General features: G+C 49.0%; 1 protein-coding gene across 18 annotated transcripts in view, besides 1 other annotated feature; it reads right to left on the reverse strand.

Moving 5' to 3' along the window:
* ABCB9 (ATP binding cassette subfamily B member 9) overlaps nt 1-12,215 on the reverse strand; it is a 56,505-nt gene that overhangs the window by 12,295 nt on the left and 31,995 nt on the right. For 15 of the 18 annotated variants that reach the window (XR_007063061.1, XR_007063062.1, XR_001748645.3 and 12 more), the window contains 4 exons: nt 9,903-10,091; nt 9,207-9,380; nt 4,368-4,527; nt 1,288-1,424 (listed from right to left, as the gene is read on the reverse strand). Coding sequence is in view for 11 of the 18 variants with exons in the window: in NM_001243014.2 (NP_001229943.1) it covers nt 1,288-1,424; nt 4,368-4,527; nt 9,207-9,380; nt 9,903-10,091 (660 nt within the window). In the remaining 7 variants the exon portion in view is untranslated. The remainder of the gene's footprint in view (nt 1-1,287; nt 1,425-4,367; nt 4,528-9,206; nt 9,381-9,902; nt 10,092-12,215) is intronic. The other 3 variants (XR_001748647.3, XR_001748646.3, NM_001243013.2) reach the window with 1 other exon arrangement.
* Nucleotides 8,751-9,606: an enhancer, noted in NCBI's record as "H3K4me1 hESC enhancer chr12:123424202-123425057 (GRCh37/hg19 assembly coordinates)". NCBI's record gives its function as "activates a minimal SCP1, AML or CMV promoter by ChIP-STARR-seq in primed H9 embryonic stem cells {active_cell/tissue: H9 hESC(primed)}" and the evidence as "EXISTENCE:reporter gene assay evidence [ECO:0000049][PMID:30033119]".

Consider the following 12,215-nt stretch of genomic DNA (forward strand, 5'->3'; position numbering starts at 1 on the left):
GGGCCCACCTGACCAGTGAGAATGCGACTCAGAGGGGAAGCACTAGCTTGAGGTCACACAGTTATAAACTGTAGGACGGAGCTGCTAATCCAGGTATCCCCATTCTGTTTTTTGTTTTTGTTTGTTTGTTTGTTTTTTCAGATGGAGTCTCACTCTGTTGCCAAGGCTGGAGTGCAGTGGTGCAATCTCGGCTCATTGCAACCTCTGCTTCCCAGGTTCATGCTATTCTCCTGCCTCAGCCTCCCAAGTAGCTAGGATTACAGGCACCTGCCACCATACCTGGCGGACTTTTGTATTTTTAGTAGAGATGGAATTTCACCATGTTGGCCCGGCTGGTCTTGAACTCCTGACCTCAGGTGATCCACCCGCCTCGGCCTCCCAAAGTGCTGGGATTATAGGCATAAACCACTGCGCCCAGCCTTTTTTTTTTTTTTTTTGTAGATGGAGTCTCACTCTGTCGCCCAGGCTAGAGTGCAGTGGCACAATCTCAGCTCACTGCAACCTCCATCTCCCGGGTTCAAGTGAGTCTCCTGCCTCAGCCTCCCGAGTAGCTGGGGTTACAGGCATGCACCACCATGCCCAGCTAATTTTTGTATTTTTAGTAGAGACAGGGTTTCACTGTATTGACCAGGCTTGTCTCGAACTCCGGACCTCAAGTGATCCACCTGCCTTGGCCTCCCAAAGTGCTGGGATTATAGGCATGAGCCATCATACTGGGCCTATTTTATTTTGTTTTGTTTTGTCTGTTTGTTTGAGCCAGATGGAGTCTGGCTCTGTCGCCCAGGCTGGAGTGCAGTGGCACAATCTCGGCTGACTGCAACCTCCACTTCCCAGGTTCAAGCAATTCTCCTGCCTCAGCCTCCCAAGTAGCTGGGATTATAGGCATGTGCTACCACACCTGGCTAGTTTTTGTATTTCTAGTAGAGATGGGGTTTCACCATGTTGGCCAGGCTGGTCTGCAACTCCTGACCTCAGGTGATCCACCTGCTTCGGCCTCCCAAAGTGCTGGGATTACAGGTGTAAGCCACCACTCATGACCCAGGTCTCCCCATTCTGATGCCTTCTCTTGCCCCACACCATACAGCTCTGCCTGGAGCCTGGAGGCTGGGTCCAGAGTGGCTCCTGGCTCCCCACTCTCAACACCAGGAATTCACCAGCCCAGGAGGCTGATAGTCTGGGAGAGCTCCTGGGGCCCGTCTCTTCTCAGCATCCATCTGCTGGGCGATGGGGGCTCTGGCCACCTGGAGCCGCTCCTGCCCCCGCATTGCCCACCACCCTGTGACTCACCAGATACTCGCTCTCGGCATCCAAAGCGCTGGTGGCTTCATCCAGGATGAGGACTGGGGGGTTCCGCACCAGAGCCCGGGCCATGGCCACCCGCTGCTTCTGGCCACCTGACAGCTGGGCGCCCTTCTCCCCTGTCTCTGTATGGTGGAGGCACAGAGACAATTTAGCAATGGGTGAGGCCGGGCAGCACCGGGGAAGAGTGAGAGGCCCTGCCCTGCAGCTGTGGAAAGGGCGGGCTGGAACCCACAACTTGAAAGCTCATGAAATGATGTTCCCCCCACCCAACTCATAAGGGGCATGCAGATTAAGCCTACATGCAAATTGATAGCAAGTTACCAATTTTCACTCATTCATTTGGCAGAAACCCAAACATCTGATAGCACACAGTGCAGGTGAGGCTGCAGGGAGACAGGCCCTCACCCGTCCTCCTGGAGAAGGGGAGTTGGAGCGAGCCCCATGGCTTGAAGAGCTGCAGCAATAACCCTGGGTCTATGAGTCTGTGCAGTGCAAAGGTTGTGTGTATTCACCACAGATGTGTGGCCTGTGGCCCCGCAAGCCCACCTGGACCAATTTTCCCCATGGACCGACTTCCTCCCATGCACAACAATATAGACACAGGTCACCTGTGACCCACAGCGCTGTTATTGCAAAAAATAAAACAAATAGACTCAAATGTCCATCAATAGGAAATTGAGTCAATCAATTATTATTATTTTAGAGACAGGGTCTCACTCTCTCACCCACGCTAGAGTGCAGTAGTACAATCACTGCTTACTGTAGCCTCAAACTTCTGGGTTCAAGCAATCCTCCAGCCTCAGCCTTCTGAGTAACTGAGACTACAGGTGCATGCCACCACACCTGGCTAACTTAAAATATTTTTCTGTAGAGGTGGGGTCTCACTACATTGCCCAAGCTGTTCTCAAACCCCTGGCCTCAAGCGATCCTCTTGCCTTGGCCTCCAAAGTGCTGGGATTACAGACGTGAGCCACTGCACCTGGCCACGCCACCAGTTCTTTATTATTTCATTTTTCTTTCATTGAGATGAAACTGACATAACATAAACATAACCATTGTAAAGTGAATAATCCGGGCTGAGCACGGTGGCTCCCAGCACTTTGGGAGGCCAACCAAGGTGGGCGGGTCACAAGGTCAGGAGATTGAGACCATCCTGGCTAATATGGTGAAACCCTGTCTCTACTAAAAATACACAAAATTAGCCGGGTATGGTGGCACATGCCTGTAATCCCAGCTACTCGGGAGGCCGAGGCAAGAGAATCACTTGAACCCGGGAGGAAGAGGTTGCCGTGAGCCGAGATCGCGCCACTGCACTCCAGCCTGGGCGACAGAGCGAGACTCCATCTCAAGAAAAAAAAAAAAAGTGAATAATCCAGTGGCATTTAGTGCATTCACAATGTTGCACAACCACCACCTCTACTGAATTTCAAAACACTATTCTAAAATAATATATATTTATTATATCAATTAATTACTAGAACTACTTAAGTTCATATCGAGGTAATTTTTTTAAAAATTAGTGTATTTAGTATATTTTAATTTAAAAATTCTTTTAAATTGACAAGTAAAAATAGTTTGTATTTAATGGTGTACAACGTGATGCTCTGAAATACATATACACTGTGGAATAGCTAAATCAAGCCAGTTAACATATACATTATCTCACATATTTATCACTTTTTTAAAGAGAGAACACTTAAAATCTACTCTCTTAGCTATTTTCAAGTACACAGTACACTGTTACTAAATATAGCTGGCCAGACACAGTGGCTCACACCTGAAATCCCACCACTTTGGGAAGCCAAGGCAGGCAGATCACCTGAGGTCAGGAGTTCAAGACCAGCCTGGCCAAAATAGTGAAACCCCGTCTCTACTAACAATACAAAAAAAAATTAGCAAGGTGTGGTGGTGGGCACTTGTAATCCCAGCTACTCAGGAGGCTGAGGCAGGAGAATCGCTTGAACCTGGGAGACGGAGGTTGCAGTGAGGCAAGATTACTCCACTCTACTCCAGCCTGGGCGACAGAGTGAGACTGTCTCAATTAAAACACAAACAAACAAAAAACTATAGTCAACAGGTCTCTTGACCTTATTCCTAAGGGAAAATTTTTATCTTTTGATCAACATCTCCCCAACCCCCCTATACATTGTATATATTTAATTATTGAAAAGGGGCTATTCGTGTGGTTCAAAAATCTAAAAATACAGGCTGGATACAATGGCTCATGCCTGTAATCCCAGCACTTTGGGAGGCAGGAGGATTGCATGAGCCCAGGAATTTGAGACCAGCCTGGGAAACATAGCAAGACCCCGTCTCTACAACAAAAATAAAAAGTGGGGTGGAAGGATGGCTTGAGCCCAAGAGGTTGAGGCTGCAGTGAGCCGTGATCACGCCACTGCACTCCCACCTGGGTGACAGAGCAAGCCCCTGCCTCAAAAAAAAAAAAAAAACTAAAAAAACTAAAAATATATAAAACTCTAAATAATGAAAAGTTTAAGTTCTTTCTTCAGTTCCCTCCTGCTCCCACCAAAACGTCTTTCATTAGTTGCTTACATGTCCTTGTCTAGTTTCTTTATGCAAATATGAACATGTTATTTTTATCTCCCCAGTCCTTTAATAGGAAAAAAAAAACCCAGCTCCTTATGCTCTGCACCTGGCTCTTCTCACTCAGCATCCTATCTCAGTGACCTTTCCATACTGCTATATGGAGAGCTGCCTCCTCCTCTGCCTCCACCTCCTCCTCCGCCTCCACCTCCTCCCCCTTCTTCTACTTCCTCTTTTTCCCAGCAGCATAATATTCCAGTGTATGGGCTTCTATAATAATTTACTTAATAAATATTTTGCTGAGTCACAGCACAGTGGCTCATGCCTGTAATCCCAGCACTTTGGGGATTGCAGGAAGATTGCTTGAGCGCAGGAGGTTCGAGTCTGGCCAGGGTAACGTAGCGGGACCCCATCTCTACAAAAAAAAGAGCAGGTGGCAGGGGGCAGTGCTTAACTCAGAGGGTTATGTCCCTGAGGGTGACCCTGTGGGCCCAGGAGAGGGGCCACCCCCAGCTCCACACCTGTGCTGTAGCCGTCCTGGAGTTCCATGATGAAGCCGTGGGCATTGGCCTTCTGTGCGGCCTCCACCACCATCTCGAAAGGCACAGTGGGCAGGCCGTAGGAGATGTTATCCGTGATGGAGCGGGCGAACAGCACGGGCTCCTGGCTCACCAGGGAGATCTGGGGAGGAGGGAGCATGGAGCATGAGAGGCCAGGAATGTGTTCATCCAGCTGTCCCCAGCAGCCTTGCTGCCTGGGGCCTGGAGACACCAGCAGTCTCAGGCCTGAAACCTGATCAGGGCCCAGTGACTGCACTGAGCTGCCTCTCTTCTTCCCCAACAGTGACTCCCGCCTGTACCCACAAGCCCTCAGCCTCCCCTAATCAGCAAACTGGGGCCTGCTACATTTGCTGCTCTGGGATAAGCCAAGTTCCCTGACCTCTAAGAGAAAGCTCACTGGCCATCCCTGTCCTGAAAAAAAGAAAGAGGGATAGAATATAGAATGTTGCTGTGAATGAGTCTGCTCATCTCAGGAAGCAAGAGGCCACAGCAGGGCTCCAGGTCACACAGACTGCCCTGGCGGTGGTCCCCTCCCTTCTAAGAGAACAATTTAAAGGAGCTATCATCTCTAGATTCCAGTTTCAGGAATCTGGGCCTACAAAAATAATAGTATGGCCAGGCCTGGTGGCTCATGCCTGTAATCCCAGCACTTAGGGAGGCAGAGGCAGGAGAATGGCTTTAGTCTAGGAGTTCAAGACCAGCCTGGGCAACACAGAAAGACCCCATATCTACAAAATGAAAAAAATATATAGTATGGAAGATATCATTGCAACACCATAAGTAGCAAAAGTTAATTAGTTAATTAATTAAATTAAAATGGAAACAATCTAGGTGTCCATAAATGGGGATTGGTTAAATAGTGACAGTGCATCCTTAAAACTGAATTGTAATAGATACATATACACAGCATGATTCTATTTTTGTTTAAAAAAATTATAAACGTGTACCTTCATATATTGATATATTTCTATAAAGATAGGAAACACATTGAAAAGGATATTTACTAAACTGTTAACACTGGCTACCTCCATGTGGTGGAATTCAAAAGGTAAGGTGGAGGGGAACATTCATGTCTTAGTTACAAGATTCATTACAACTATGAGAATATGATTAGCTTGTAGCATTTTATTGTTTTATGTTTATAGAAATTAACATTTTAAATTTAAAAATAGAGGCCAGCCATGGTGGTTCACACCTGTAACACCAACAGTTTGGGAGGCTAAGGTGGGAGGATGGCTTGAGCCCAGGAGTTTGAGATCAGCCTGAGCAACACAGTGAGAACCCGTCTCTACAAAATAATTAAAAATTGGCCAGGTGTACACGGTGGCTCATGCCTGTAATCCTAGCACTTTGGGAGGCCGAGGTGGGCGGATCACCTGAGGTCAAGAGTTTGAGACCAGCCTGACCAACATGGAGAAACTCTGTCTCTACTAAAAATAAAAAATTAGCTGGGTGTGGTGGTGCATGCCTGTAATCCCAGCTACTCAAGAGGATGAGGCAGGAGAATCACTTGACCCCTCGAGGCGGAGGATGTGGTGAGCTGAGATCGTGCCATTGTACTCCAGCCTGGGCAACAAGAGCAAAACTCCATCTCAAAAAAAAAAAAAAAATTGACCAGATGTGGTGGTGTGCACCTATAGTCCCTCAGGAGGCTGATGTGGGAGGATTGCTTGAGCCCAGGAGGTCGTGGCTGCAGTGAACCATGATCACACCACCACATTCCAGCCTGGGTGACAGAGTGAGATCCTATCTCAAACAAAAAGTACATAAATAGTCCAGGCGCCATGGCTCACTCCCAGCATTTTGGGAGGCCAAGGCGGGTGGATCACTTGAGGTCAGGAGTTCGAGACCAGCCTGGCCAACATGGTGAAACCTTGTCTCTACTAAAACTACAAAAAATTAGCCGGGTGTGGTGGTATGTGCCTGTAGTCCCAGCTACTTGGGAAGCTGAGGCAGGAGAATCGCTTGAACCCAGGAGGAAGAAGTTGCAGTGAGCCGAGATCATGCCACAGCACTCTAGCCTGTGCGACAGAGCGAGACTCCATCTTAAAAAAAAAAAAAGAAAAGAAAAAGTACATAAATAAATAATTAAGAGAGGCTATTCATGAAGGAAAACCAAATGGCCAATATATGAAAAGGTGTTTAATATCTTCAGTCATCAGGAAAACACAAAAGACCACAATAAGCTACCACTACATTCTCACCAGTTAGCAAAAATTCAGGACTGACAATGTTAGGTGTCTGAGAATCGAAGCGTGGTACCTACTGCAAAGTGTGAACGGCTCTGCCCAGGGGGCTCTTCTAAAACTTTGGTGAGCAGCAGCCTGGTGGCCTCCCACTTGGCACCATTTCACAACAATCTACCTCTGGTTACATGCACATGGTGTGGGCAGATTTCACAACCCATGGCCCTCACCACCATCTCGAACTTGGCTAGGAGTTCTGGAATCTCTGTGCCAACACTCAGGCTTTCACATAATTTATGTTGATGATGTAAACGGTGCTCCCTTAATAGTTTATATTTCTTGGACAGTGCACAACCTGAGCAACCATCCAGGGCATCCCTGCTCTTAGGCCAGCACAGGGACAGGTGTTATGGTTCCTTTCCTGAAAGGATTACTAAAAACTGTCCAGTCATGAATAGCCTATTTTGAGTACTGGAGATGACCTAAATGTGGAACAGCTGAAACTCTCCTTCACTGCTAGTAGAATGTAAATTGTAAAATGTAAATTGGTATAACCACCTGGGGATAGCTGTTGTGACAGAAACTACGGCAGTTGGGGATGTACATCCACTATCACCAAGCTTTCTACTCTTAGGATTATACCTTGGGAGAACGTACTCATGTACAACAGAAAACATAGACAAAATTGTCCACATCCCACACTGGTATTTTTGGTAATGGTAAAACAAAACAAAACAAAACAAAACTGAAAAACAGGCCGGGGGCAGAGGCTCACACCTGTCATCCCAGCACTTTGGGAGGCTGAGGCAGGAGGATCACTTGAGGCCAGGTGTTTGAGATCAGCCTGGGCAACATGGTGAGACCACATTTCTACAAAAAAATAAAATTAGCTGGGCATAATGGCATGTGCCTGCAGTCCCAGCTACTTGGGAGGCTGAGGTGGGAGGATGACTTGAGCACAGGACTCTGAGGCTGCAGTAAGTTGTGACTGTGCCACTGCACTCCAGCCTGGGCAACAGAGGGAGACCCTTTCTCAAAAAAATAAAAATAGGCCAGGTGCAGTGGCTCATGCCTGTAATCCCAGCACTTTGGGAGGCCGAGGCGGGTGGATCACGAGGTCAGGAGATCGAGACCATCCTGGCTAACATGGTGAAATGCCGTCTCTACTAAAAATACAAAAAATTAGCCAGGCGTTGTGGTGTGCACCTGTAGTCCCAGCTACTCAGGAGACTGAGGCAGGAGAATGGCGTGAACCCGGGAGGTGGAGCTTGCAATGAGCCGAGATCGTGCCACTGCACTCCAGCCTGGGCGACAGAGCGAGACTCTGTCTCCAAAAAAAAATAAAAATAAAAATAAACAAATAAATAAAATAAAATATAAAGGGAAACAACCCAGCGAGGCACGGTGGCTCACGCCTATAAACCCAACACTTTGGGAGGCCAAGGCAGGCTGATCACCTGAGGTCAAGGGTTCGAGACCAGCCTGGGCAACACGGTGAAACCCTGTCTGTACTAAAAATACAAAAATTAGTCAGGCATGGTGACGCACTCCTGTAATCCCAGCTACTAGGGGGGCTGAGATAGGAGAATAGCTTGAACCCGGGAGGCGGAGGCTGCAGTGAGCTGAGATCTCACCACTGCACTCCAGCTTGGGCAACAGAGCAAGACTCATCTCAAAAAACAAAAATAAAGGGAAACAACCCAAATACCCAGAATGCATAAATAATTGTGATAAACATATGTATAGTGGGTTACCACCCAGCAATGAAAATGAATGAACTCTGTCCCCAGCCTCAACCTGGATGACTCACAATGTCGAGTGGGAGACACAAGACACAAACTAATCCACACACCAATCACGATTCTACCCAGATGAAGTTCCGAGCAGGCAGCACAGAGCTCAGGGGTGCACACAGAGATGGCAGAACCAATGAAAAGCAAGAGCATGAAGACTCTAAAAGTCAACACATTACTTCTTGGGGAAAGAGAAGGGACACATGGCGGGGGGTAGGAGGCTTCTGGAGTGCCAGAATGTTCTATTTCTTTTTTTTCATGAGACAGAGTCTTATTCTGTTGCCCAGGCTGCAGTGCAGTGGCCCAGTCTCGGCTCACTGCAACCTCTACCTCCCGGGTTCAAGTGATTCTCGTGCCTCAGCCTCCTGAGGAGCTGAGATTACAGGCATGTGCCACCACACCCGGCTAATTTTTGTATTTTTAGTAGAGATGGGGTTTCGCCATGTTGGCCATGCTGGTCTTGAACTCCTGAGCTCAAGCAGTCCACCTGCCTTGGCCTCCCAAAGTGCTGGGATTACAGGTGTGGGCCATCACATCTGCCCTTTTTTTCTTTTTTAATAGAGACGGAGTCTCACTATGTTGTCCAGGCTGGCCTCAAGGGATCCTCCAGCCTCAGCTTCCCAAAATGCTGGGATTACAGGTGTGAGCCACCACGTCTGGACAAGAATGTTCTGTTTCTCTAGGAGGGCATTGTAATTGGTGATAATTCTTTGAACTGTCCATTTATCTCTAGTGCCCTCTTCCGCACCTGTTACAGCTCACAAGAAAGACGGTTAGATGCAGAAAGGGCGGAGAAGTGTGGCCCAGGCCCGTGCACATACCACACGGTGCAAGTACTTGTGGTCGTAGGCGCTGATGGGCTTGCCGTCCAGCAGCACCCGGCCCCCCTCCAGGGGGTAGAAGTTCTCCAGGATGTTGACACAGGAGCTCTTCCCACTGCCCGAGGGCCCCACCAGGGCCGTCACCTTGCCGGGGGACAGGCTGAAGGAGACATTCTGCAAAGAACACACAGGCACAGTGCGGGGTTATCGGCTCAGGTCCCAGGACTGGATGCCCTGACCTTGGACACAGGTGGGTGCCCTTCCCAGCCCACCCCATGTGCCTCTCCCTCGCTTGGGCACTGCTGGCCCCTAAACGTTCTTTCTAAGACACTAGGACTTGGAAGCACCTTGAGATTTGCTGTTTCCTCTGTCTGGAATGTTCTCTCTGCAGGGAGGCCCCTGGTGAGGTCTCACCTCAAATGTCACCTCCTCCAAGAACCCCTTCTTGACTGTTACCACCATTCCCATGGACCATCCCTACCACAGCACCCTGATCTATTTTCTTTCTAGCACTTATTATCGGGAATCATTCTGTTAAGTATCTGTCTTCCCCAACTGGAGCCCAAAACTCCTGGAGGGCAATGATCTTGCCTGACATATTCCCAGCTGCCCTGCCACAGCCTGGTGTATAGGAGGTGCACCAGAAATGGGGTGACGGAAAGGCTGATTCTGGCAGGCCTCAAGCCGCGCCCTCACCTGCAGGACCTGGGTGTGGGGCCGAGTGCGGTAGGTGAAGGTCACATTCTCAAAGTCCACCCGGCCCTCCAGGTGGTCGGGGGCCAAGCTGCCATCGTGCACCATGGTCGGCTGCCGGTCGATGAACTCGAACACCTTCTCAGCAGCCCCCACTCCCTGCATCAGGCCACTGTAGACGGAGCCCACGGACTGGGGAGAGGAGACACGCGTTCCTGTCCCACCGATACCCGACTCCTGGGACCCACCCCTGCTACTAGAGAGGAGGCAGGTATAGGGAAAGCAAGGAGTTCTGGCGGGGAGATGCAGGAGGCCACCTGACCACCCACTGGTGCATTAGATAACGACAGTAAGGGGAGCTGAGGACAGCAGCATCACTAGCACTCTACCGGCCATCCAGCTGAGTGGGTGCCATCATCCCCACAGGAGCAGATGGAAGCGAAGGAACCGGCAGGGGTGTGGCACAGTGGGAATCCAGCCTTGATCTTTCAATTGCGATAGCATAGCTTTTTTTTTTTTTTTTTAAGATGGAGTCTCCCTCTGTCGCCCAGGCTGGAGTGCATTGGTGCAATCTTGGCTCACTGCACCCTCCGCCTCCCAAGTCAAGTGATTCTCCTGCCTCAGCCTCCAGAGTAGCTGGGATTACAGGTACTCGCCACCACGCCCAGATAATATTTGTATTTTTAGTAGAGACAGGGTTTCACCACACTGGCCAGGCTGGTCTCAAACTCCTGACCTTAAGTGATCCGCCCACCTCACCCTCCCAAAGTGCTGGGATTACAGGCATGAGTCACCAGACATGGCTTGATTTCAATTTTCAAAATGGGTCTTAATGTGTACTATAAATAAATATATTCTCCTTGGGTAAAAATACATAGAATATGAATGTAAATCATAATAACGGCCCATTTTCTTAAGTATTCTCTATTTATTTTTTTTGAGAGGAGGGTCTCACTCTGTTACCCAGGCTGGAGTGCAGTGGTGTGATCTTGCTCACTGCAACTTCTGCCTCCCGGGTTCAAGCAATTCTCCAACCTCAGACTCCTGAGTAGCTGGGACCACAGGCATGAGCCACTACTAAGCCCAGTTAATTTTTTGTATTTTCAGTAGAAATGGGGTTGCACCATGTTGCCCAGGCTGGTCTCGAACTTCTGAGCTCAAGGAATCCGCCTGCCTCAGCCTCCCAAAGTGCTGGGATTACAGGTGTGGGCCACTGCGTCCGGCCAAGCATGCTCTGTATGTTAGGAGGTAGGTTCTAACATTATCTCCTTTTTTACTGATGAGGAATCTCAGGCACAGAGGGCTCAAGTAACTTGGCCCAGGTCACAGAGCCTAGAAGTGGCAGAGCCAGGATTTGAATCCAGGCCCATCTGTCTCCTGAGTTCAGGCTCTTAGGTGCTGAATGTCCTCATTGGTGATAAGGGGGTGATATCGGCATCTGTGTCCTGTTACTGTGAAGACAACAGCAACAGCCGGTAGTAAACACCTAAAACCCCAGAGCTGGCCGGGCACAGTGGCTCACACCTGTAATCCCAGCACTTTGGGAGGCGGAGGCAGGCGGATCATTTGAGGTCAGAAGTTCGAGATCAGCCTGGCCAACATGGTGCAACCCCATTTCTACTGAAAATACAATTTTGTACTAAATTTTGTACTAAAAGTACAAAAATTAGCTGGGCATGGTGGTGCATGCCTGTAGTCCCAGCTACTGGGGAGGATGAGGCAGGAGAATAGCTTGAACCCGGGAGGCAGGGGTTGCGGTGAGCCAAGATTGCACCACTGTACTCCAGCCTGGGCGACAGAGCAAGACTCCATCTCAAAAAAAAAAAAAAAAAAAACCTAAAAAGAAAAACATTAGCTGGGTGTGGTGGCATGTGACTGTAACCCCAGCTACTCAAGTGGCTAAGGTGGGAAGATCACTTGAGTCCAGGAGGTCAAGGCTGCAGTGAGTCATGAAAGCACCACTGCACCCCAGCCTGGGTGACAATGTGAGACTGTCTCAAATAGTAATGATAATAAATAAACAACACTGCACTGAACATCTCTGGACATACATCTTCGCCCACTGCTGTGAGTACTCTTGAAGCATGGATTCCTAGGGGCAGATTTACTGCTGAGTCAAATAATATGGCAGGTGTGATTCTCCAGCAGATGCAATGGCCTGAGTAGCAGATGCTAGGAACACCCCACCAACATCCTTGAGCCTTTGTCAGCGCAGCACACAAAGGCCCAATCTCTTACTGCCTGCGGGCTGCGGGCTTTTTTGTGGGAGCGAGGCAGACAAGAGAATTAACACCCTCACTCCAGGCTGACCTTGAG

Source organism: Homo sapiens, chromosome 12, assembly GCF_000001405.40.
Source record: "Homo sapiens chromosome 12, GRCh38.p14 Primary Assembly".
In the NCBI taxonomy this organism is placed as follows: Eukaryota; Metazoa; Chordata; class Mammalia; order Primates; family Hominidae; genus Homo; species Homo sapiens.